At 45.8% G+C, this 25,739-nt stretch overlaps 1 protein-coding gene across 1 annotated transcript in view, besides 5 other annotated features; it reads right to left on the bottom strand.

The window, feature by feature from the left end:
• Positions 1 to 10,914, bottom strand: part of NDEL1 (nudE neurodevelopment protein 1 like 1) — a 61,198-nt gene extending 50,284 nt beyond the window's left edge. The window contains exon 1 of the mRNA XM_047436861.1: positions 10,776 to 10,914. The gene's annotated coding sequence lies outside the window, so the exon portion shown is untranslated. The remainder of the gene's footprint in view (positions 1 to 10,775) is intronic.
• Positions 3,360 to 3,654: an enhancer, noted in NCBI's record as "tiled region #4336; HepG2 Activating DNase unmatched - State 8:EnhW". NCBI's record gives its function as "activates a minimal TATA promoter and a strong SV40 promoter by Sharpr-MPRA in HepG2 cells {active_cell/tissue: HepG2}" and the evidence as "EXISTENCE:reporter gene assay evidence [ECO:0000049][PMID:27701403]".
• Positions 3,360 to 3,654: a silencer, noted in NCBI's record as "tiled region #4336; K562 Repressive DNase matched - State 5:Enh". NCBI's record gives its function as "weakly represses a minimal TATA promoter and a strong SV40 promoter by Sharpr-MPRA in K562 cells {active_cell/tissue: K562}" and the evidence as "EXISTENCE:reporter gene assay evidence [ECO:0000049][PMID:27701403]".
• Positions 3,360 to 3,674: a biological region, named in NCBI's record as "Sharpr-MPRA regulatory regions 4336 and 10869".
• Positions 3,380 to 3,674: an enhancer, noted in NCBI's record as "tiled region #10869; K562 Neither DNase unmatched - State 5:Enh". NCBI's record gives its function as "activates a minimal TATA promoter and a strong SV40 promoter by Sharpr-MPRA in HepG2 cells {active_cell/tissue: HepG2}" and the evidence as "EXISTENCE:reporter gene assay evidence [ECO:0000049][PMID:27701403]".
• Positions 13,460 to 13,754: an enhancer, noted in NCBI's record as "tiled region #12124; K562 Activating DNase matched - State 5:Enh, and HepG2 Activating DNase unmatched - State 4:PromP". NCBI's record gives its function as "activates a minimal TATA promoter and a strong SV40 promoter by Sharpr-MPRA in K562 cells, with weaker activity in HepG2 cells {active_cell/tissue: K562 | HepG2}" and the evidence as "EXISTENCE:reporter gene assay evidence [ECO:0000049][PMID:27701403]".

Here is a 25,739-nt window from a genome sequence, read left to right as displayed (position 1 = left end):
AATGTCTTAAACGTGTAATTTTCTAAAGTTTAAAAAATAAGGATGCATCCAAACTTAACAAAGCAAGGTAATTTCCTCAAAATTCTTTGTAAATGATGTAAACTATTTCCTAAGCCTATGGATTTAGGATCTGTTAAAATTTTTTTAAAAGGCAGCCTTTCAGCCAAGTAACCCCAGTAGATACAAGAGTGACCTGAGCACTCATGTCAGTAAAGCCTCAAAGGAAGGGCTCCCAATTCTGCAACACAGATCTTAGGAATTAATTCACTTCTGCTATGACTCCCTAATTAGTCCAACCTGATGTTATGTATGTTGTCATGTACAATTCCCTCCTTTTTTGTTTGTTTGTTTGTTTGTTTTTGAGACAGAGTCTTGCTCTGTCACCCAGACTGGAGTGCAGTGGCCTGATCTCGGCTCACTGCAACCTTCGCCTCCTGTGTTCAAGCAATTCTCCTGCCTCAGCCTCCTGAATAGGTGGGATTACAGGAATGCACAACCATGCCTGGCTATTTTTTGTATTTTTAGTAGAGATGGGGTTTTGCCATGTTGGTCAGGCTGGTCTCTACCGCCTGGCCTCAGGCAATCTGCCCGTCTCAGCCTCCCAAAGTGCTGGGATGATAGGCATGAACCACCACACCCGGACTACACTTCCCTCTTTTGAACATATATACTGGCTCTCCAGTGTAAGTTTCTGCCCTACAATCTTTTCAATTTCATACCTTCTAAACACCTACTAACTGAAAACATAATGATATCTGAGACTTTGAGTGGTAGAATTACCTGGGATGTCAACTGTCACTAATCTGGAATGTTAAGGATTGCTTCTCTAGGGGGGGTCACTTGTCTGGTGACCATTTTCGAAATAAGAACAAAATAATACCCCAACCATTTAAAACTAAAACTTAATATGATAAAATAACAGTACATGGGATCACAGAAGAAATTTCACACTAGTTTTCATCCATCCCTATGAGATACAACACAAATCTAGATGTCTGCTTCGAAATTACAAGGAGGGCTGGGCGCAGTGGCTCATGCCTGTAATCCCAGCACTTTGGGAGGCTGAGGCGGGTGGATCACGAGGTCAGGAGTTCAAGACCAGCCAACATGATGAAACCCTGTCTCTACTAAAAATACAAAAATTAGCCGGGTGTGGTAGTGGGTGCCTGTAATCCCAGCTGCTCAGGAGGCTGAGGCAGAGAATTGCTTGAACCTGGGAGACAGAGGTTGCAGTGAGCCGAGATCGCACCATTGCACTCCAGCCTGGGTGACAGAGCAAGACTCCGTCTCAAAAAAAAAAGGAAAAGGAAAAAAGAAAATTACAAGGTGGTTTTATGGCCTTTACATGGAAAACATTTTCCGTTGAAAATTAGGCGACGGGACTTCTTCACTCAGGAGTGCCTATACTATAGAGGTGGATTTTTACTCATAAACACTGAATTGCAGACCTGAAACATCCCAGTTTCCATGTTAATCACAGTAGAAATGCCCCTTCCAGGAGAGGGAAGCAGGCCTGGCAGAAGAGAAGACATTCACTGAAGTGCTGGGGACAAGATAAAGGGGAGGCAGGGGGCTGGGCATGGTGGCGGGTGCCTGTAATCCCAGCTGCTTGGGAGGCTGAGGCAGGAGAATCACCTGAACCCAGGAGGCAGAGGTTGCAGTGAGCCAAGATCGCACCACTGCACTCCAGCCTGGGCAATAGAGCGAGACTCCGTCAACAACAACAAAAAAAGGTGGGGGTGGAGGGGAGAGGCAGGGGAGCCCTTTCTCCAAGCACGTTGCTGTTTCAACAATTTTCTAAAGATTATGTGTTAACAGGATGGTTATTAACACCCCAATAAAAAGATATTAGAGGAAGTAGTTTGAAAGCAAGAGGCCCAGAGACATAGAGCAGAGGATCAAAGGACAGCAAGGTCTACCCTCCACCCCCAGCCATTGCAGGCACCACCTTTTCTCAGGGCTCCCACACTGGTGTGAGAACCCAGCCATGCCTCATGTTATTCACCTTGGCCAAATCAGCGCCATCCCAGCTGATTTTGTTAAAGTGACTTCCCTTCTCTGGGCCTCAGTTTCTTCATCTGTAAAATGAGCAGGTTGAACCAGATGACATTGTTGACAGTGAGTGAGTCAGGACCCACCCTGACATCTAGCCAAGCACCATCCCGGTGGAGCAGAGAGCCCTTCCTCTCCTTGGCCAGTCTGCAGAATGTGATGGCAGAGTCAGCCCTCTCCTGGGAGGGTGAGGGTAATGACTAAGGATAGTCTTATTCTTGCCAACGTTCCTTTCTATGCCCTAAGGAATTGCTGATCTTGCAGAATGAACCACTTCATGGGCATCTAAGGTCTGGTGTATTTGTTTCCTGTGGCTGCTATAATTACCACAAGCCTGGTGGCTTAAAACAATAGATTTATCTTCTTGCACTTCTGAAGGTCAGTAGTGTCTAAACCGATACTTAAAGAGCTAAAATCAAGGTGTCGGGCAGCGTTGGTTCCTCCTGAAAGCTCGGAGAGAGTCAGTTTCTTGCCTCCTCCAGCTTCTAGAGGCCACCAGCGCTCCTTGGCTTGTGGCTGCATTTGTTCCAATAGCTGCTTCCATCATCATATTGCCTTCTCTGACTTTGATAAGCCTCCCTCTTTTAAGGACCCTTCTGATTACATTGAGCTGACCCAGATAATCCCCCCATCTCAAAAGCCTTAATTTAATCATGTCTGCAAAGTCCCTTTTGCCATATAAGGTAACATACAGGTTCTGGGGATTAGGATGTGAACATTTTTGGGGGGCCTATTATTCTGCCTACCCCTTTCTGATCTTCCAGTTGTACCACCTGCACATTATTTGCTGTTTCTGCATATCATCTTTGAATATTTATTGGAATGTACTCATTTATTTAAAGATTAGCTTAAATCTTCCATTAACCTCATTCTAAATGATCATCTCTATGAAACTATAGAATTGATGTTAATCATATTTTCCCTAACATTCCCTAAAATAAATACCTAACTATTGAAATTTCAAATGTGCATCTCTTACCACTTAACATCAATCTGCCTGTCACCAGTAGTACACAGACCATCACTTAGGGAATAAAAATATAGTCCAGCCTACTGAATTTACAGAAAAGGGTAATTTGTCCAAGAATACACACCAGCAAAGAGCAAAACTTCAGCTACACCCACAACTTCTGCTTCCTGTCTCCATGCTCATCAATGACAACTTCAAAGTACGTCAGCTTTTCCTTAATAGCATCCCTAACATTGATGATTCATATAATCTAAGGCTTGGTTCTCCTTCTCTTACACTCATAGGTATTTTATATTTGAAAAATATATAATGAGACTTACAAGGGCTTATATAAAGGGCTTCCCTTTGCTTCCCCTGTCAACCAGCATTCATACATCTGACTTATCTGTGTTAAACAGCAGCCTGTTTACTTGACCTACATCTGGACAGCGTCCAGGCCCCAGGGAAGAATAAGCTGAGAATGGAGGTCAGTGGCCAGTGGTGACTTTGTAGTTTGCCCTTTGGCATCTGTCCCAGATGCAAATTGAACTTTGAAACCACTTTTGAGAAGCCAAGAGTCCTTTCTGTACACAGAGTGTGGGATGATGTAATTGTCCTCTTCTTACATAACAGTCAGCATGCAATTTAAAAAAATAGCTATCATTTATTGAATATTTAGTATGGGACAGGCCCTGTGTGAAGTGTTTTATTTTTTATTTTGGGGGGGCAGCCTCTTGAACCAGAGCAGGCTCAGAGAACTTAACTCTCGTAAGTGCTTTACAAACACTCATTCACAACAATGCTATGAAGCAGCTATTCATGTTCCCACTTTACAGATGAGGAAACCCAGTCCTAGAGAGGTTAAGCAACGTCTCCAAGGTCACACAGCTAGTATGACAAGGTCAGCATTCATAGACCCTCAGACGTAGAAGAGAACCTTGAAATAATCTGCCACATAAGAAAACCAGGGAAGTGTTGAGCCATCTGCCCAAGGACACATGAGACTGCGTTAGTGGCCGACTCAGGGACAGAATTCAGGTCTTCAGCTCTTAGACCAGTCTGTGTCTTTGGATTTTTCTCTCCGTTAAGCTATTATTTCTCGGGTGATCTGCTTCTTTATTCTCCTCATTCCTTCTTGCACTCCTTCATGGGTGCTTCTGGCCCTCGTCAGTTTCACTGTGATGCAAAGCTGTGGAGGTATCTAATGAGGGTCCCAGAATGACCCTTCCCGATCACTCCCTCTGACCCAGCAACAAACATGGAAAGTGCTAGAAAATCTCTATGAGTCTGTATTCATTAAATTGGAATTAGTAATAATGTAACCTGAAAAAGAATTAAAGTTTACCTTTTTCCTTTTTCCCCCAAAAAAAGAGAATGCTAAGCAGATACATGGTGGAAACAGGATTAGATGGGGTCGTGATCAAGAGAGGAACTTGTTAATCAAAATTTTAACCCAATAGAAACCTAAATGTGTGTCATTTAGGAGATTGGCTAAATAAATGATTGTATATACATGCAAAGAAATACTGTATGGTCACTGGAAATGATGTCATAGAACAATGCATATGAAAACAAATTATGATTTCATAAGTTGAGAGCATGACACAAAATAAAATTACTCCACTTTTCTTTTTATAAGTATATGCTCAGAAAAAAAGACTGGAATATATTTATATGTATTAGACTGGATATATTTATAAGTGGTGGTTATCTCTGAGTAATTCATATTTTCTTTTTTGTGTTTATCAGTATTTTCCAAATTTTCTATAGCAAATACACGTTACTTTGATAATCTAAGGGAAGAAAATCGTCAAACACTTTAGATGAATTCATTAAGAATCACTATTTTCTGAAGTCTGCTCTGAGACTGCATATACAAGAAAATAAGGGATCAGGCCAGGTGTGGTGACTCACACCTGTAATCCCAGCACTCTGAGAGCCCCAGGCAGGAGGATTGTTTGAGGCCAGGAGTTCAAAATCATCCAGGGCAACATGGCAAGACACTGCGTCTATACAAAATAAAAAAAAATAGCCAGGCATGGTGGTGTGTGCTTATAGTCTCAGCTACTTGGGAGGCTCTGGTGGGAGGATCACTTGAGCCCAGGAGGTTGATGCTGCAGTGAACCGTGATCACACCACTGCACTCCAGCCTGGGTGATAGAGTGAGACTTGGTCAAAAAAATAAAAAAGAAGAGAGAGAAAGAGAAAGAGAGAGAGAGAGAGGAAGAAAGAAAAGAAAAGGAAAAGAAAAGAAAGAAAGGAGGGAGGTAGGGAGGGAGGGAGGGAAGGAAGGAAGGAAAGAACAAAGGAAGGAAGGAAAGAGAGAGAGAGAGAGAAAGAAAAGAGAAAGAGAGAGAGAGATGAAGGAGGGAGGGAGGGAAGGAAGGAAGGAAGGAAAGAAGGAAGGAAGGAAGGAAGCAGCCATAAACTTTTTTATAGAGCTGGCCATACATTAATAATTTAACAGTCGTCCTGCCCTAGTAGAAAAATGAGCAATGGACACAAATAGATGGTTCATAGAAGAGATATAAATGGCCAATAAACACCTAAGAAGACCCTCAGCTACATCATTAATAACTTTTAAACATAAATTAAAATGACACTGAGATATCTCCTTGCTTTTTGCTTATCAGATTAGCAAAATTTAAGACAAATGGTAATACCCAATGTTAGTAAAGTGTAAGGAAGCCCACTGTCTCCTGCCATGCTGGTCACAGAGTGAAAAATGCAGTAACCATCTCAGTTACCATGATGGATTAAACACGTGTATCTTCACTTCCTCTTGAAATCCCACCAAAAAGAAAGATCGAACAAAAATTTTAAAAGGTATAAACCCACAGGGACAGATGATAGGAAAGGAAACAACAGTGGACAAGGGATGTCAACAGGATTTTGGAAGCTGGAAAGTGGATGAGTAAGCGACAGCTGACGCAGTAGATCAGAAAAGGCTGAAAACTAAATGCCAACCAGAAGCAAGCAGTGCTGGGCCTCTAACTCCAGAAAGTCTCAGTAACTGGAGGTGCGGGCTACTTTGAAAAGCAAGGTAGGGTGGGGCTAAAAACAGGAAGATCTGTCGAAACATATGATGTGTTTACAAAGCATTTCAACACAGGCTTCACAGCCCAGGCAATCAACAAGCCAAGGCATCTACTTCTCTCCCACCCCAGCAGGAGAAGGAGGTTTGCTTTCTGGAGGAACTAAACCAGAATAGCTCCAGATCTGGGGAGACTGGACACATCCGAGGGCAGGGTTAAGTCACTACATAAAGGGAAGAAGGATTTGGGAGAGGGGAAGTCTTTGAAGCTACATACAGAATGATGAGACCCCCTCGTGTCCCCTGATGCCCCCTAGAATGTTAGCAGCCTGGCTTGTATCCTCCAGGCAGGAGATTGGAGCATTCTTCTGGGGGGTTCCCAATCATTTGGACTGGTCCCCCCATTTGATCACCATACACAGAGATCCAACAACCAGGGCCAGATACAGACACACGCACAGACACAGACCCAAACACCCTTCAATCGGCTTCTAGTTCCTTGAACATAAAAATGAACATTCAACAAGGAATCAGCAAACATTTGAGGAAGCCTCCAATGTGAAAGATAGAACAAAATAGCATAAAAGAAATTCAAGGGCTTCAATATAATCCATAGGTTCAGGAAAAGAAAAAGAAAAAAGAGGCTGCGCACAGTGGCTCATGCCTGTAATCCCAGCACTTTGGGAGGCCAAGGTGGGCAGATCTCTTGAGGTCAAAATACAAAAATCAGCCAGGCATGGTGGCACATGCCTGTAATCCCAGCTATTCGGGAGGCTGAGGCACAAGAATCACTTCGACATGGGAGGCAGAGGTTGCAATGAGCCGAGATTGCACTGTTGTACTCCAGCCTGGGAGACAGAGCAAGAGTCTGTCTCGAAAAAAAGAAAGAAATAAAAAAGAAAAAAAGAAAGAGAGAGAGATTCAGCAGCAATAGACACAATGCAGGGAGCATAAGTAAGCTGGAAAAAATGTTTAATATCTTCAGAGAAATAAACAAAAGCATTACATCATGAAACAAGAACACGGGGCTTCAAAAAAAGAAGTGAGAACAAGAGCGCTTTTTAAAAATCAATGAGGGTTGAAATTAAAATATTCATTTGAAGAGCATGACCATTAAATTGAGAAAATCTTCCAAAACAGGAGAACAAAAGACAGATCACCCAAACAGGAGATTAAAGGAAGAAAATGAGAGGATAAACCCCAAAGTCTAATATTCAAATAATAGGAGTTTCAGAAAGCAAGTACAGGGGAAATGAGGAGGAAGGAATTATTTTAAGATAATAATTCAAGAGATTCCTCCAGAATTGAATAACATGAGCACCCAGATTGAAAGGGTCTCCTGAGTACGCAGGACAATCGATGAAAAAACACCCACAGATGAAATTTCAGAATCCTAGGGATGACAAGACACTCCTAAAAACTTCCACAGACATAAAACCAGGACAAGTACAAAGGATCCTGAATCATAATAGCAGAAGACTTCAACAATAAACTAGAAGCTTGAAAACAATGAACCATTGCCTTTAACATTCAGAGAAAAAAATCATTTCCAACAAGTATTCTAAATCAAGCCAGACCCTTCAACAAGTATAAGAATAGAATGAAGGACTGTTTCCAGATAGTCAAAACCTATCAAAATTACCTCCTGTCATTGGAAGATGCATGTCACCAAAACAGGGAAGAAAATAAAGGGGAAAATGTGAGATCCATACAAACAGACAAGTACTGTATGATTCTCCTCATATGAGGTAATTAGAAGAGTGAAATTCATAGAAACGGAAAGTAGAATGATGGTTGCCAGGGCCTGGGAGGGAGGGGAAAATGGGGATTCAGTGCTTAATGGGTACAGAGTTTCAGTTTGGGAAGATGAAGAAGTTCTGGAGATGGGTGGTGGTGACAGTAAGCACAACAATGTGAACGTACTTAATGCCACTGAACTGTACGCTTAAAAATGATTAAAATGGGCCAGGCGCGGTGGCTCATGCCTGTAATCCCAGCACTTTGGGAGGCGGAGACGGGTGGATCACGAGGTCAGGTGTTCAAGACCAGCCTGGCCATCATGGTGAAACCCCATCTCTACTAAAAATACAAAAAAGTAGCCGGACATGGTGGCAGGCGCCTGTAATCCCGGCTACTCAGGAGGCTGAGGCAGGAGAATCGCTTGAACCTGGGAGACAGAGGTTGCAGTGAACTGAGATCGCGCCATCACACTCCAGCCTGGGCAACAGTGCGAGACTCCATCTATTTACCACAATAAAAAATGTAAAATGGGCAAGGCACATTAAAAATGGAAAATAGGTGTCTCACGCCTGTAATCCCAGCGCTGGGAGACCGAGGCAAGAGCCCAGGAGTTCCAGAACAGCCTAGGCAACATGGTGAAGCCCTGTCTCTACAAAAAATACAAAAATCAGCCAAGTATGGCAGCACGTGCCTGTAGTCCCAGCTACTCAGGAGGCTGAGCTAAGAGAATCACCCGAGCCCAGGGAGGTCGAGGCTGCAGTGAGCTGTGATTGCGCCACTGCACTCCAGCCTGGGCAACAGAGTGAGACCCTATCTCTAAATAAATAAATAAATAAATAAATGTTAAAACTATAAAGTGGCAAAAAAAAGTATACATATAAATTAAAAAGTGGCAAAACCTCGTCTCTAAAAAAATGCAAAAAATTAGCCAAGTATGATGGCAGACACCTGTGGCCCCAGCTACTTGGCAGGCTGAGGTGGGAGGATGGCTTAAGCCCGGGAATTCAAGACTGTAGTAAGCTGTGATCGCACCACTGCACTCCAGCCTGGGCAACAGAGCAAGATCCCATCTCAAAAAAGAAAGAAAGAGAGAAAGAGAGAGGGAGAGAGGGAGACAGAGAGACAGAAAGAGAGAAGAGGCAGGAGGGAGGGAGGGAGGGAGGGAGGAAGAAAGGAAGGTGGTATCCAAAAGAGAGAGGATTCACACAAGAAAGAGAAAAGGGAACTCCTAAGATGACAACATTCAGCAGTCCTGGGGAGAAACCAATCCAAGAGGGAGCAGTAGGATGAGGCACCAGGCAGATGTCTCTGAGGAATAAGAGAAAGAGACTGAGAGATAATCTAATAGATAATAGAGACTGAGAGATAATCTAATGTGTTGATCATATTGCCAGGAATTTTATAGGTCTGTTAGAGAGGAATCAGTGATATGTATCTAAAAACTAAGCAAATGAAGGTACAGTGGCTCAAGCCTGTAATCCCAGCTACTCAGGAGGCTGAGGTGGGAGGATCTCTTGAGGCCAGTGTTTCACACCAGGCTGGGCAACATAGCAAGACCCGGCCTCAAATAAATAAATAAGATGGTATGACACTTTTTTTTTTTGAGATGGAGTCTCGCTCTGTCGTCCAGGCTAGAGTGCAGTGGCGCGATCTCAGCTCACTGCCAGCTCCGCCTCCCAAGTTCACACCATTCTCCTGCCTCAGCCTCCCGGGTAGCTGGGACTACAGGTGCCCAACACCACGCCCGGCTAATTTTTTGTATTTTTAGTAGAGACGGGGTTTCACCATGTTAGCCAGGATGGTCTCGATATCCTGACCTCATGATCCGCCAGCCTTGGCCTCCCAAAGTGCTGGGATTACAGGCGTGAGCCACCGCGCCCGGCCATGGTACGACATTTCTTAAGGGAATCTGGACAAATGAATGAAAACTAAATATATGTACAACCTTTCACCTAGCAATCCAACATCTAAGGATTTATTCTAAGGAAATAATAGTATGCAAAGATGTACATTCAGTGATGTTTACTGTGGCACTGTTTATTATTATAGAAATAAATTGGAAACACCCTAAACACCCACCAATAGGAGACTGGTTTAATAAATCATGGTACAGCCACACAATGGAATACTACATAGCTGTTAAAAAGGACAAGGTAGATAATTATGAATTAACAAGAGATGACACTCAAGAGATACTATTAAGTGAAAAAAAGGTTGAAAGACAGTAAGTAGAATTTGACATAAAAATATTCATTTAAAAGTCTAGATGTCTATATGCCAAAATATTAATCTTTAGAGATAGAATTATGCAAACACTTTCAATGTCTCTGTACTGATTAAATTTTTATCAGATATTATATTATCAGGAAAAATCATCTAGTTCCATTTACAAAATGAAATAAAAGTAACCCCAAACCCTGAAGAATACAATCATACAGTTTACAAAACACCTTCACAATCATCATTCTGCTTAAGTTTACAAACATCCAAAAAAATAGAGATGTCTTACATTTTGTAGATGAGAAAACACGTTCAGAGGGAAGCAAATGGCCCATGAGCAGTGAAGTCAAGGTCCCAGGACATGATCGCAAGCCCCTAACTTGGTCAGCTCAGCATGGCTTCAGTGCATCTCACTGACTGTCTCTGTTGGCTCCAGATAAACCTGTCAGAACCCTATGAACTCCCTCTGCAACCCAGAAAAATGCTATGTGGGCAGTTCAGGAAATAGGAAACCAAATCAAGGTGATCAGAATATCAGGGGGAAGATGTGCGCAAATGATATGGTTTCAGGAAACCACCAAAGCCGTCTCTTTATGTCACCCAACCCTCATGCCACAGGGACATAACCAACTTTCCAAATGGACCTCAGCCTTTGACAATCCGCCTGCCTCATGGGCACAGAGGGTCCTCAGACATCAGGAGCCCCCCATTCTGGCATCTCTCAGGCAAACCCTCATGTGGCCCAGACCTTCTCCAATCAGCTCTTTCCTCCCAATGTACCTGGTCCTGTGTCTCAGGCCTCAGCTGATCAGATCCACGGCAGCATACGGGGCCCACGCTGAACTTGCTGACACAAAGTAGAAGTCAATAGGAAGAGTGAGAATCACCGTCCGACCAAAGATACGCAAGGATGGGAAATGGATTAGAGCCAGGAAGGCTGGGGCCTGCTGCCCTGAAGTGAGGCAACCCTGCCCGCCTCATCACTCAGCTGGGGTTGAGCAAGACTTCAGTGCTTCGGGAAGGAAAGAAGAAATTCAAGTTCTCAGCCAGGCCTTCAGCCTTCCCATCTCCCCTGCATGTGTAGTTTGGAAGCCACTGGTCTTCCAGACAGATGTCCTGTTCTCTCCTCCACTTTCCTGCCTTCATCCCCGTATTTGGAGGGTAAAGGCATGGGGAAGAGCTGTCACTACTTAAGGTGGGGAGACAGTGAATGCCAGTGTTGTTTGTCTCTCCACAAGGGCCAAGCACATAACATGGTACACAAGAGAATGAACTTGTCCCATAGCCTCCACCTGCCACTTGTAGCTGTGAGAACTTGAAACCGGGCACGGTGGCTGACACCTGTAATCCCAGCACTTTGGGAGGCCGAGGCGAGTGGATCACCTAAGGTCAGGAGTTCAAGAACAGCCTGGCCAACATGGTGAAATCCTGTCTCTACTAAAAATACAAAAATTAGCCAGGCATGGTGGCACACACCTGTAATCCCACGTACTCGGGAGGCTGAGGCAGGAGAATCACTTGAACCCGGGAGGCGGAGGTTGCAGTGAGCCAAGATTGTGCCACTGCACTCCAGCTTGGGCGACAGAGCAAGACTCCATCTCAACAAAAAAAGAACTTGAGCAAGTTGCTTTGCTCTCTGAGTCTCATTTGCCTCATCTATAAACGGAAACAATGCTGGTACTGACCTCATAGTATTTTGTAGGGCTTAAATGAGATAACGTGCGTAATTGGCTCCACCCAAGTCCAATTAGTCCCTTTAGCTGTTAGTGGTTGTCCCCTTCCAGCCCTATCAGATCTGACTCACTCCTTATGGCTTTATTAGGTCAGACACCCTGGTCTAAAGAGTCCCCTGAACACTCTTGCCTCTGCAGTGGCTGTAGGTCTCATGCATCAATTAGTCTTACGATCTAGAAGAAGCACCATTGTTAAGAAGGGCTAGGAGACCCTTCACTAATCATTCTTTTCCTTTTCCCGGGGTGATGTCTTTTCTCCCCAGGGTCAGCCGTGAAGGTAGGGGCTGTGTGGATTTGTCTCTGTATCCCCAGGGGCACTCATCAGAGCCCTGGAGGTTAAGTCCATAAATATTTGTGGATCTTAGAGGTTCATAGAAACATCACCCCTATTTAAAGCATGTGGGTAAACTTAGGGACCTGGGCTGAGGAATCCATAGCAGTGGGACTGAGGCTTTTACAGGATGTGGCAAAGCCATGCACGCAGGCAGGATCAGGGTGACACTTGGCTCCTCTTAGCTCCTCTCGCAAGTTCCTAAAGCTCCTAAAGATGTGAAATAGGGGCGTGTGTGGAAAGCCGCTGCTTGATCTGCCTGGAAATCCTGCCCACCTCCATCTCCAGAAGGAAGGCTGCTTCCTGCTTAGCCTCAGCACACTTAAATCCCCCTCAAAAGCAGCTCTTGGGTTTGCCACCTGCTAATCAAGGCACCTGACCTCTTCCTGGCTCTCTGTCCTCACCTCCTGACACCCTTCTTCTCAGATGATGGATATCCTGACAACTGAGATGGCATCCTCTTCACCCAAGCTGGAGTGCAGTGGTGCGATCTTGGCCCACTGCAACCTCCACCTCCCGGCTTCAAGCAATTCTCTGCCTCAGCCTCCTGAGTAGCTGGGATTACAGGCGCCCACCACCATACCTGGCTAGTTTATATATTTTTAGTAGAGACGGGGTTTCACCATTTTGGCCAGGCTGGTCTTGAACTCCTCACCTCATGATCCACCCGCCTCAGCCTCCCAAAGTGCTGGGATTACAGGCGCGAGCCAATGCACCCAACCCAAGATGGCGCCTTCTTAAGGATTGACCCCCACCACTTGCTTCCTCCAATTTACCACCCTGCCAGGGTAACCTGCCTGACTCCATACTGCTTTAGGGTGCCCCAAGCCTTGTTGAGGTTTACTATGTGCTAGCCACTGTGCAAGTGTTTTATGTACAATATCCTGCTTTAATTCTCAAGTAACTTTCTAAGGTAGAGGCTATTACTATTCCCATTTTACAGATGAGGAAACTGAGACCCAAAGAAGTCATGCAACTTGCCCAAGGTCATGCCGTGAGTGGGCTCACACTCTAACTTGTATTTCAGACATTTCTGTGAAATTGTGTTCACTCTGGTAAACCCTTTGAGAGAAGAGCCTGGATTTGCTTCTCTCTCACCTCCCATATTGCATAGAGATGGAACTTTACACAGCATGTTCTAACAAATTTTAGAACTACTGGGCATGAGTCATCACCAGGGAGCTTGTTAGAAATGCAGAATCTCAGGCCCCACCCCAGTTCTACTGAATCAGAATTTGCATTTTCACAAGAGAAGCAGGTGAGGGTTTGCTCATCAAAGTTCGAGACCATACTGTTCGAAACTGAATTGAATGGATGGTGCTCTACAGAGACACCCACAAGCCAAACAAGCATAGGAAAACAAAGCAAAAATACCTACAGGGCTCCTGATCTTGGGAACTGCACTTCCGGAGGAAGCACAGCGCAAAAAGTTAGGGCTGAGAGGTTCCCCATGCCTCACTCAGTTTCCACTTCCCGGTGCTCCAGCAAGATCTTGGCTGGGAGTCTGGATAGCAACGAGACATCTTTAGAGCGCCACCTGCTGGCCGTGATTAGGTATGTATCGCTCATTTCGGCTCCAGGCATTCCCTCTCAAAGCTGCAGCTCAAGGTCTGAGCCTTCTGTAACGGATCCCTTGGTTCTTTATTTCTGCCCCTTCAACACTCACCATTCACTATTCCTGTCGCTGGTTCAGATAACTCGTTACTCTCTAAATGGCAATGATGCAGCACCCCCATGTTTGCTTAGCCCCTTGACCTTCTCAATTGAGTTCAGCTCATTAGGCATTTGTTGAGCTCCTACTGGGTGCAAAGCATTACGACTTCAACAGAACAGCCTTCTCACGAGCGTCAAAGCAAGTGGTCAGTAAATAAACCAGGCTCTTAGTGTTCTGACTCAGGGTAAAACCACAAAGATTTAATACTGGTCCCTATAAGAAAGCGTTTGCAACATTCACATGGACATTCTTTTTTTTTTTTTGAGACAGAGTCTCGCTCTGTCACCCGGACTAGAGTACAGTGGCGTGATCTCGGCTCACTGCAACCTCCACCTCCCGGGTTCAAGCGATTCTCCTGCCTCAGCCTCCTGAGTAGCTGGGATTACAGGAGCGTGCCACCACACCCAGCTAATTTTTGTATTTTTAGTAGAGACGGGGTTTCACCATGTTGGTCAGGCTGGTCTCGAACTCCTGACCTCATGACCTCATTTAGGAAGGCACAACCTTCCTAAAAGGCAAATTTACAATATTTATCACAAGGCCTTAAAACAATATTATCCTTTGAGTTATCGATTCCATTGCTAGTAATTTATTTTAAGGAAATACCACCAATATATTGCAGTAAAAACACTTACTGCAGACTTTTTTTTTTTTTTTTTGAGATGGAGTTTCACCCTTGTTGCCCAAGCTGGAGTGCAATGGCGCCATCTCAGCGCACCGCAACCCCCACCTCCCGGGTTCAAGCGATTCTCCTGCCTCAGTCTCCCTAGTAGCTGGGATTACAGGTGGATGCCATGATGCCCAGGTAATTTTTGTATTTTTAGTAGAGACAGGGTTTCACCATGATGGTCAAGGCTGGTTTCGAACTCCTGACTTCAGGTGATCCGCCCACCTCGGCCTCCCAAAGTGCTGGGATTACAGGCATGAGCCACTGCGCCCGGCCAACAATTTTTATAATAGGGAAAAATTGGAAACAACCTAAATATGAATCAACATGAGATTAATTAAGCAAATTACTACATCTATTTAAAAAGAGGATCTAAAAGAATGTTTATTGGGATTAAAAGTTAACAATTGAAAAAAAAAAAAAGGTCCCAAAAGCATTCATACAATGTGACCTCATTTATCTTAAAAATAATTATATATCATATGTATAAATACAACTATACATTTTAACATAATTATATATTATATGGCTATATATATATATGCACGCTGGAATAAACACCAAAATATTAATGGTAGTTTTCTGTAGAAGTGGTGTACAGCTTGTATTGTGTGTGTGTGTGTGTGTGTGTGTGTGTGTGCGTGTGTGTTTATGTGTGTGTTAAAATTTTCCACATTTTTTTTCAATAGTAGTGCTATTTTTATCATCCGAAAATAAGATTGTTCTTACTCTGAACTCTGTCCCTGACCCGGGCCTTACCTGTCTCAAGAATTGAGGCCTCCTAGCTGTCCGGGAGGATTTAAGCCCTGGGATGAACACTGCCAACTCAGAAAATCCTCCAAGGCGGCCAGCTCACGTCAAGCACTGTTTCTCCAAATGCTGCCGTGTCCCTGAGAACAAACCTCTCCACTGTCTTGGTGGCTTCCCTCCCCCGCCTGTCCTGAAGCATCTCTGCCCCGGGAGTGGGTCACTTGACAACAGTGAGAGGGAATCCGTGAGGTGGGTGCCAGGAGTGCAGCCCCGCGCTGCCCCGGCTGGCACAAGCTTGGGCCATGACTCAGCCCCTTTCTGCTCACCTGGTGTCCCGCCCTGCTGTCTCCACTTCCTCCCCAGCCCGCACCCTCGGGTCACCGTCCTTCCTTGCTAGTTTCATCCTGTTGAAAGAGTCCAAGCTACTTTTCTCTGAATTCTTTTGTTTGATCCACTTCAGTGGTTTCCCATCGAAAGGGCTCTCGGGTCAAGCATTTCACCCGGGCCTTGGGCTCAGCCACGGAAAGTTCTAGAGTCGCCTGTTTCTAGCTCTGGGATCCCAAGTTTCTGTCCCCTGCGTGGGCGCCAGCTCTCACCCACTCGTGCCAGAGTCCGCATGAGTGGCACTTCAGATGGTACACAAGTGAACCTTTTTATACTTAGAAGTTTGCATTAATTAATTAAAGTTTGTACCGTTTCATGAATTAATTGAGACAGAGTCTTGCTGTGTCGCCAGGCTGGAGTGCAGTGGCTCAATCTCCGCTCACTGCAACCTCCACCTCCCAGGTTCAAGAGATTCTCCTGCCTCAGCCTCCCGAGTAGCTGGGACTACAGGCACGCACCACCACGCCCGGCTAATTTTTTGTATTTTAGTAGAGACGGGGTTTCACCATGTTGGCCAGGATGGTCTCAATTTCCTGACCTCGTGATCCACCCACCTCGGCCTCCCAAAGTGCTGGGATTACAGGCGTGAGCTACCGTGCCCGGCCCCTAATTATATTTTTAAGGTACAGACACTTATATTTGAGGCTGTTAAAGGTATGAATGCTTATGTTTAAGGGTTGTGTTTTGTTTCGTATTTTTTCCCAGGCTGGACTGCAGTGGCGCGATCTCTGCAACCTCTGCCTCCCAGGTTCAAAAGAAATTCTCATGGCTCAGCCTCCCGAGTATCCGGGATTACAGATCCGCTCCACCACACCTGGCTAATTTTTGTATTTTAGTAGAGATGGTGTTTCACTATGGTGCCCAGGCTGGTCTCTAACTCCTGAGCTCAAGCGATCCACTCACCTCCGCCTCCCAAAGAGCCAGGATTACGAGTGTGAGCCACGGTGCCAGGCCAGGCCATGTTTAAGATATTTTTAAGAAATGGATGTTTTTGCTGGGTGCCGCGGCTCATGCCTGTAATCCCAGCACTGTGGGAGGCTGAGGCGGGCAGATCACTTGAGGTCAGGAGTTCGAGACCAGTCTAGCCAACATGGTAAAACTCCATCTCTACCAAAAAATACAAAAGTATTAGCTGGCCGTGGTGGCAGGTGCCTGTAATCCCAGCTACTTGGGAGGCTGAGGCAGGAGAATTGCTTGAACTTCGGGGGCGGAGGTTGCAGTGCGCCGAGATTGCGCCACTGCACTGCACCCCAGCCTGGGTGACAGAGTGAGACTCTGTCTCAAAAAAACAAAAAAAAGAATGGAAAGTAGAATGACTGTGTTGCTCAAACACCCCCTTCACCTCACTACTGGCCCAACACACATGAGTTAGGCTTGAGAAGGCAGCTTTTTTTTACTTAAACATTTATTGGGCTCTAATAATACTGGGTCTTTGTGCCAGAGCCTACAGAGATGTGTGAAATAGGATCTCCCTTCATCGAGGTATTAAAAGATATAGAGGAAGGCCAAGGGCGGTGGCGCACATCTGCGGCGGGAGGAGGGTCAAGGGTCATGTACACACACACTAAAAACATAAAAATTAGCCAGGCGTGGTGGCACATGCCTATAATCCCAGCCTCATGCTGAGCACTTTGGGAGGCCGAGGCAGGCAGATCACTTGAGGTCAGGAGTTCGAGACCAGCCTGGCCAACATGATGAAACCCTGTCTCTACTAAAAACACAAAAATTAGCCAGGTGTGGTGGCGCATGCCTATAATCCCAGCCACTCGGGAGGCTAAAGCAGGGAGAATTGCTTGAACCCAGAAGGTGGAGGTTGCAGTGAGCTGAGATGGTGCCACTGCACTCCAGCCTGGGCAACAGAGCGAAAACCTGTTTCAAAAAAAAAAAAAAAAAAGATGTAGAGGAGATGCCAGGAGAGATGTAATGAGGTAGAAAGGCATTCCAGCCAGGAAACAACCCCCAAAAAAAAGCATGAAAAAAAGATCACAGAGGCCCACAAGCCCAGGGCCTTCAAGGGACCTGAGCTGGAAGCCAGAGCTGTGGCCATGCTGTGTAGCAAAAGATAGCCCAGCAGAGGGGCTGGCTGGAGCAAGTCTCCAGAGAGCAGTGAGGGCTTCATGGGCTCCCTGAGTATGGGCTGTGCCTCAGGGCAATGGGGAGCCGAGGAAGTCTTCAGAGGGAGGGGATGGGATGGGGTGAGACCTGTGGCCACTGCATATTGTTGGGCTGGGGAGCTTGGGAACCAAAGCAGGTGAATTGGGAACGAAAATCAGTTCCTATTCTGCCTGCCAAGCCATGTGCCCTGACACAGCCAGAGAAGAAAGAGGGCCTTTTTCCAATTAACTTCCTAGAGGGAGGCGCCTCTATGTGTTCTGTTCAGAGGTCCAAGGTGTCCCCGGTTCTACCAGCAGTCCTGGGCTATGTAATAATGGGGCAGAGCCCAGGAGGGTGAAACAACAGGGAAGCTTGGGGCAAAGCAAACACTTGAGCTGGCTGGAGCAAGCCAGGCCAGAGCCGACAGCTGCAAATGGGTGGGGAGACCCTCAGGGCTGCACCAACCCAGGGTAATCCCCTGGTCTCACTGTGGAGACTGCAGCCTCACCCGGGACGCCCCAGCGGCATCCTGTGGGGCCACTGAAGCAGCAGATCTCGTCCCCTGGCCTCTGTGTAGGCTTCCCTAGGGACACGGCCATACTTTACTCCATACTTGTGGGGTCCTTTGCCCTCTCTGGTGAGGCCTTCCCATCTGCCCACAGTCACCAGATCAAGCAGGATGCTGAGAAGTGGAGGCGCGGTGGGAGGAGGGTCAAGGGTCATGTGCACACACACACTCATGGCTGGGAGGTGCCCCCACCTCCTGCCCTTGTGCACCGCCTCACTGTCTTCATGCTGAGCACACGTAGGGCAGCCAGCTTGCCTCGCCCTGCCTCCCTTGCATGAGCCCATCCTCATCTGGAGCCAGGACTGGAGCTGGCCCCACCTGGCCAACTATGTGCACTCAGGGCAACAGGGCTGTCTTCAAACAGCACACAACCTTCAGTGTCCCCTATCCGGGCCCTGGTCGGTAATCTAGGCCTGCCCACAACAGCATGGCAAAGATCATTGCCAGGTGTCTTTTCATGGACGGCAGTGATGTAAACAGACCAAGAGTCTCTGCCCTGCCAAAGGTTGGCCTTAACTGTAAACTCGCATTCTCACTCTATCCCATCCCCTTCCCCACCTCTCTTCTCTCCACTGCTTCTGGGTCGGGCCTGCAGTTCCTGGCCCCATGTTTGCTCCCCAGCCTCCAACCCCTCTGCCTTAGATATTCAGGGTGACTCACACTTACTCTTATTAAAATGTCAGCCCTGGCATAAGGTTCCAAATGGCATGAGTGACCCCATCCCATCAGGGTTGCCCCTGCCTGCTGTATCCACTCTGTCCCCACAGGGAGTGGCAGGAAGGTAGTGCAGAGAGCTGCGGAATGCCCCTGCGCCTGGACACCCAGTGTCCCTCCGGGGGAGCAGGAAAGTCAGGAGCTTCATGGATCCCACTTCCCTGGAGATGCTGTGCAGGGAAAGCTGGGGACAGTGAAGATGGTGGGGACAGAGAGCAGGTTACTCTAGAGGCTCCTGGGGGCCCTTTGGGCCTCCATCTGAGCTGAGCCACCTCAACTTCCAGTCCTCCTCCCCTAGCCTGGAGGAAGGAATACCTCTCCAAGCTACCCAGGACCCCAGTGATCTCTGGGGGCAGAGGTTCCCACACAGGCTGCTCCTTAACATCACCTGGGGAAGCTACTGAAAACTCAGATTCAACAACTGTATATGCACCTAAGGGAGAAAGCTCCAAGCTGTGCTGTCCAGTAAAACAAGCAAGATGCACCAGCATGCGTGTGGTGCACACCTTTAGATTAAAAACGGGGAAGGGCTGGGTACGGTGGCTAACAGCCACCTGTAATCCTGTAATCCCAGCACTTTGGGAGGCCAAGGCAGGTGGGTCACTTAAGGTCAGGAGTTCGAGACCAGCCTGACCAACCTGGTGAAACCCTGTCTCTACTAAAACTACAAAAATGAGCCAGGCGTGATGGCGGGCACCTGTAATCCCAGCTACTTGGGAAGCTGAGGCAGGAGAATTGCTTGAACCCGGGAGGCAGAGGTTGCGGTGAGCTGGGACCACGCCACTGCACTCCAGCCTGGGCAACAGAATGAGACTTCATCTCAAAAACAAAACAACAACAACAAAAAAAAAAAAAAAACACGGGGGGAAGGAGGGGCATATTGACTCATGTCTATAATCATAGTATTTTGGGAGGCTGAGGCGGGAGGATTTCTTGAGCCCAGGAGGTCAAGACCAGCCTGGGCAACACAACGACACCTTGTATCTACAGAAAATTAAAAAATTATCCAGGTGTGGTGGCGTGCCTGTGGTCCCAGCTACTCAGGAGGCTGAGGTGGGAGGATCACTTGAGCATGGAAAGTCGAGATTGCAGTGAGCTGCGATTGTAACACTGCACTCCAGCCTGGGCGACAGAGTGAGACCCTATCTCTCAAAGGAAAAAAAAAAACAGGGAATACAAATCCCTATTTGTATTTGTTTGTGTACATATAAATATAAATAATATGCACAAAACTAACTGCTAATAACAGCAGTTACCTTTTTTATTGTGGTAAAATACATATAACAAAATTTACCATCTTAACCTTTTTTTTTTTTTTTTTTTTGAGACGAATCTTGCTCTGTCGCCCAGACTGGAGTGCAGAGGTGTGATCTCAGCTCACTGCAACCTCTGCCTCCCAGGTTCAAGCAATTCTCCCGCCTCAGCCCCCCAGGTAGCTAGGATTACAGATGCGCACTGCCATACCCGGCTAATTTTTGTATTTTTAGTAGACATCGGGTTTCACCATGTTGGCCAGACTGGTCTTGAACTCCTGACCTCAAATGATCCACCCACCTTGGCCTCCCAAAGTGCTGGGATTACAGGCGTGAGTCACCACACCTGGCCCATCTTAACCATTTTAAGTGTACAGTTCCACAGTATTAAGTACGCTCATATTGTGAGCAACCATCACCACCATCCATCCAGAGCGCTCATCTTCCCAAACGGAAACTCTGTCCCTGTTAAACACTCACTCCCCATTGTCCCCTCATCCCCCAACCGGCCCCTGGAAACCACCATTCCACATTCTGTCTCTACGATTTTGACTGCTCTAGGAACCTCATATAAGTGAAATCAATCATACAGTATTTGTCCTTTTGTATCTGGCTTATTTCACTTAACGTCCTCAAGGTTCATCCATGTTGTAGCAGGTGGTAAAATTTCCTTCCTTTTAAGGCTGAATAAATATTCCGTTGTGTGGATGGATCACATTGTGTTTATCCACTTATGTGTTGATGGACATTTGGGTTGATTCCACCTTTTAGCTATTGTGACTAACACTGCTATGAACATGGGTATACAAAGATCTACTTGAGTCCGTGCTTAAATTATTTGGGGTATATATCCAGAAGCGGAATTGATGGATCATACAGTAATTCTATATTTAAGTTTTTGAACCACCGTACTGTTTTCCAAAGAAGGTACAGTATTTTACATTCCCACCAGCAGGGTAGAAGGGTTCCCATTTCTTCATATCCTCACCAACTCCTGTTATTTTCTGGTGTGGTTTTCTTGTTTTGTTTTGTTTTTTGTTTTTTGTTTTTGTTTTTGTTTTGGTCTTGTTTTTGTTTATCCTTTTGAAGGGATCGTTACCTTCTGAAGGGATGCACAGGAAATGGGCAGATGAGGGACAGGGAGGGAGATTAATATTCACTGCAGGTCATTTAACACTTTCTCACTTTTTTTTTTTTTTTTGAGACAAATCTTGCTCCGTTGCCCAGGCTGGAGTGCAGTGGTGTCATCTGGGCTCACTGCAACCTCTGCCTCCCGGGTTCATGCAATTCTCCTGCCTCAGCCTCCCAAGTAGCCGGGATTACAGGCACCTAGCTAATTTTTTGAATTTTTAGTAGAGACGGGGTTTCACCATTTTGGCCAGGGTGGTCTCGAACTCCTGACCTCAGGTGATCCACCCACCTCGGCCTCCCAAAGTGCTGGGATTACAGGCATCAGCCACCGCACCTGGCCACTTTCTAACTTTTGAATCATCTGAATATATTACTTATTCAAGAAGGCACTTTGTTTTTCCAACATGTGTTATGAAAATTTCCAAACATAGAGCAAAGATGAAAGAATTTTACAAGAATCCATACATCCACCACCTAGATTCCACCATTAGCATGCACTATTCTTACATTATCATATATCTATCCATCCATCTATCCAATTATTAAAAATAAGTACAGTGTACTTTCTTGGGCCTCTCCCAAGACCGGCAAGTCATGAGTGGGGCCTGGAAATCAGTTTCTGTAATCTGTTCTCCAGGTGATTCTGGCATTAGGAACTTCTGTCCTGGTCCAGCTACTCACCCCTTGCAGAAACCACACCTGCAGTTAGTCAGTGGTCAGCGGGGGTGGGATTCTTCCCTTGTCTAAAAGCCCCTTAGCCTCACAAAAATGTCTCTCTAAGGAAGATCTTATGTCACTGGGCCAAAATGGTCTCCAGACTCTTCTCCATCCTGGCCAAGCTCTTCCCCAGGACACGCTTTGGTGCCTCATCAACACCACTTCCAATGTGGCCCCAGAACTAGACAAAACTCTACAGCATGACCTGCCCAGGGAAGGGACCCCTGGTCTCGTCCGTCCCTGAGCTGGAACCATTCTTCCATGGTTCAGCGTGCATTTGTCCTTTCTGCTGAGAAGGGGAGAACACTCCAAAATGACATGGCAGTATTTGCAACAGACACCTTATTCACTAAATCAGGACAAGATTGCCCAGGACCCTTGAGTCAGAAAGTGTTTGCATCTCCTTACCCACCTTTAGCCTTCTCTTCTTGCCATAATAATAATAAGGATGATTTCGATGATAATCGATACAGAGAGATAAATGAAGAAATATATTTATATATATATTAGATAGACGAAGAGATTGGATAGATGATAGATAGATAGATAGATAGATAGATAGATAGATAGATAGATAGATCTATGGAGAGATTGGAGAGAGAGATTAGATGGATAGATGGATGGATGGATGGATGGATGGATGGATGGATGGATGGATTAATTGATAGACTAATGGAGAGATAGATAGGTAGATACATAGATACACAGAGATGGATCAGTGGAGAGATTAGGTAGATAGATCAATGGAGAGATAGATTGATTGAAAGATAGATGATTGATTGATGGAGAGATTACATGGATGGATCAATGGAGAGATAGAGATTAGATAGAGAGATGGATAGATGGACAGATGGACGGATGGATCAATGGATAGGTTGATTGATGGATAGATGGAGAGGATAGAGAGAGAGAGATTAGATAGATCAATAGATACATAGATCAATTGAGATAGGTGGATCAATGGAGAAACCAGATAGACAGATGAATTGATTGACTGATAGACAGATAGACAGACATATAGATAGAAAACACTGACAGAGCCCCTCCTGTGTAGCAGGTGTTGTTCCAGGCACATTACTTGCATTCATTCATTTTATTGTCACAACAACCCTATAGAGTAGGTACTATTATCCCCATTTTCTACAGATGAAGCAACTGAGGCGCAGTTTCTACAGATGAAGCAACTGAGGCACGGAAGGATTAAGTAACCTACCCAAAGGCACATGGCATTTTCTCTTTAGTCACCAACACACATAAACACACATAGAGCACTCGTGAATGCTCATGCACTGGTCTAATTTCCCAGAGCTCCCTACCATCAAGTCCTATAGTGTAGTTCCTCCTGGCTAGTATACTTGTGCTCTCAACCTTTGCTGATAACTAATTCCTTCTTCCTGCCAAAATCCAACAGTCCACTTTCCCAGAAACTTGCTAGATGGCTAGAGCTGACCTGAAAAATAAATTCAAGTTAAAGTGTCTCTGGCTGATGCATTTACCTCCTCAGGTAAATGTGTGTGTCCGTGCCAACATATATAAGTATACACAATTTTTTAAGTGGAATTCTTTTTCTTTTTCTTTTCTTTTTTTTTTTTTTTTTTTTTTTTTTGAGACAGAGTTTTACTCTGTCGCCGAGGCTGGAGTGCAGTGGCGCCATCTCAGCTCACTGCAACCTCCACCTCCCGAGTTCAAGCGATTCTCCTGCCTCAGTCTCCCGAGTAGCTGGGACTACAGGCACATGCCACCGTGCTCGGCTAATTTTTTCTATTTTTAGTAGAGATGGGGTTTCACCGTGTTAGCCAGGATGGTCTTGATCTCCTGACTTCATTATCCACCTGCCTCAGCCTCCCAAAGTGCTGGGATTACAGGCTTGAGCCACTGTGCCAGGCCAGAATTCTTTTTTTAGAACACAAACCAAGACAGACAATGATAATAAATATTTACATATTAAAGGTAATTTTCATAGTCAAGCTTCATGACAGGGCCAGTGGAAAAGATATTGGTGCCTTAGGAACTTTATATCACCCCATAAATCACATCACAAAAGTCTAAGGATGGCCGGGCCTGGCTCCGTCTCCTCTCTGGGGGACACACAAGGGCTTGATACTGAGGTATTTGGGGCACCTTTTCAGGAATCCCCAGAAAGCCCTAGGCAGAGTCATGAGCCACATTGTTGAAGGGGCTTAGAACTTTGCAATGCGCCCCTTGGAGATGCCAGTGGAAGGAGAGAAATTTGGAGAGCCCTCTGGGATTAGACTTGCTGGATGAAAATACAGAATGCCCACTTAAATTTGAGTCTCAGATAGAAAAGGAATACTCTTTAGTATAAATATGTCCCAGAGGGCCGCCACAGTGGCTCACGCCTGTAATCCCAGCACTTTGGGAGGCCAAGGTGGGCAGATCACCTAAAGTCAGGAGTTCAAAACCAGCCTTGCCAACATGGCGAAACCCCATCTCTACTAAAAATACAAAAAAATTACTGGGGTGTGGTGGTGCACACCTATAACCCCAGCTACTTGAGAGGCTGAGGCAGGAGAATCGCTTGAACCCAGGAAGTGGAGGTTGCAGTGAGCCGAGCTTGTGGCCACTGCACTCCAGCCTGGGTGACAGATCGAGACTCTGTCTCAGAAAAAAAAAAATCCCAGATATTGTACTGTATTGTACTGGACATATTTATACCAAAAAGCATTCGTTGTTTGTCTGAAATTCTAATTTACCTGGGCATACTGCATTTTCATTTGCTAATCTAGGACCACCTGGAACTCCCAGGGAAAGAACAAGAGAGACTGTGACGACGGCTTGCACTCACGGATCTCTGTCCATGGTGAAGTGGCCGAGTGCACTGGCCTGACTGTCCTCCCCACCAGCTTCAAGGTGTCCATTAAGCCAGGGCCATGACTGATCGGACAGAAGAGGGGTCATCCTGTGTCATCCTATGGGGTCACACACATGCTGGGCTGTGCCTTGGACCCAGTAACTTACTTTTTCAGAAGAAAACTGGTTTCTTGGGGACCTCCTGAGAGGACTGGGAGGGAATCCTCCAAAATGATTTCCAGTTCCCCGAACTTCATTCCTCCATTATTCTTGATGACTTTTTCTTTTTCTTTGAGACAGTCTCACTCTGTCATCCAGGCTGGAGTGCAGTGGTGCAATCTTGGCTCACTCACTGCAACCTCCACCTTCTGGATTCAAGCAATTCTTGTGCCTCAGCCTCCCGAGTAGCTGAGACTACAGGCTTGCACCACCTTGCCCAGCTAATTTTTGTATTTTTAGTAGCAACAGGGTTTCACCATGTTGGCAAGGCTGGTCTCGAACTCCTGGCCTCAAGCAGTCTGCCCGCCTCAACCTCCCAAAGTGCTGAGATTACAGGCATGAGCCACCATACCCAGTGGATGACTTTTTCTCTAATCACAAAAGAAACATACATTCAGGGTGAAAATGCAAACATCACAGAAATATAAAACTTAGAAAGTCTCTCCAGAGATAACTGCTATTAACAGTCTGATGTGTTTTCTTCCAGCTTTTCCTCTATGAATATGATCATGTATTATTATCTTCATAAATAGAATTGTATTACACAGGCTGTTCTGAAAGTTGCTTCCATTTATCATGATGCCGGGGACTTCTTTCCATATCTGTGTGCATTCCTGCTTCACTGGTCTTACTCGCCTCGTTCTTTATGCCAGTGGTG

The sequence above is a fragment of the Homo sapiens genome, chromosome 17 (assembly GCF_000001405.40).
Source record: "Homo sapiens chromosome 17, GRCh38.p14 Primary Assembly".
Taxonomy (NCBI): domain Eukaryota; kingdom Metazoa; phylum Chordata; class Mammalia; order Primates; family Hominidae; genus Homo; species Homo sapiens.
The sequence above is the reverse complement of the archived record's forward strand: the minus strand, read 5'-3'. Positions and strand labels throughout refer to the sequence as shown.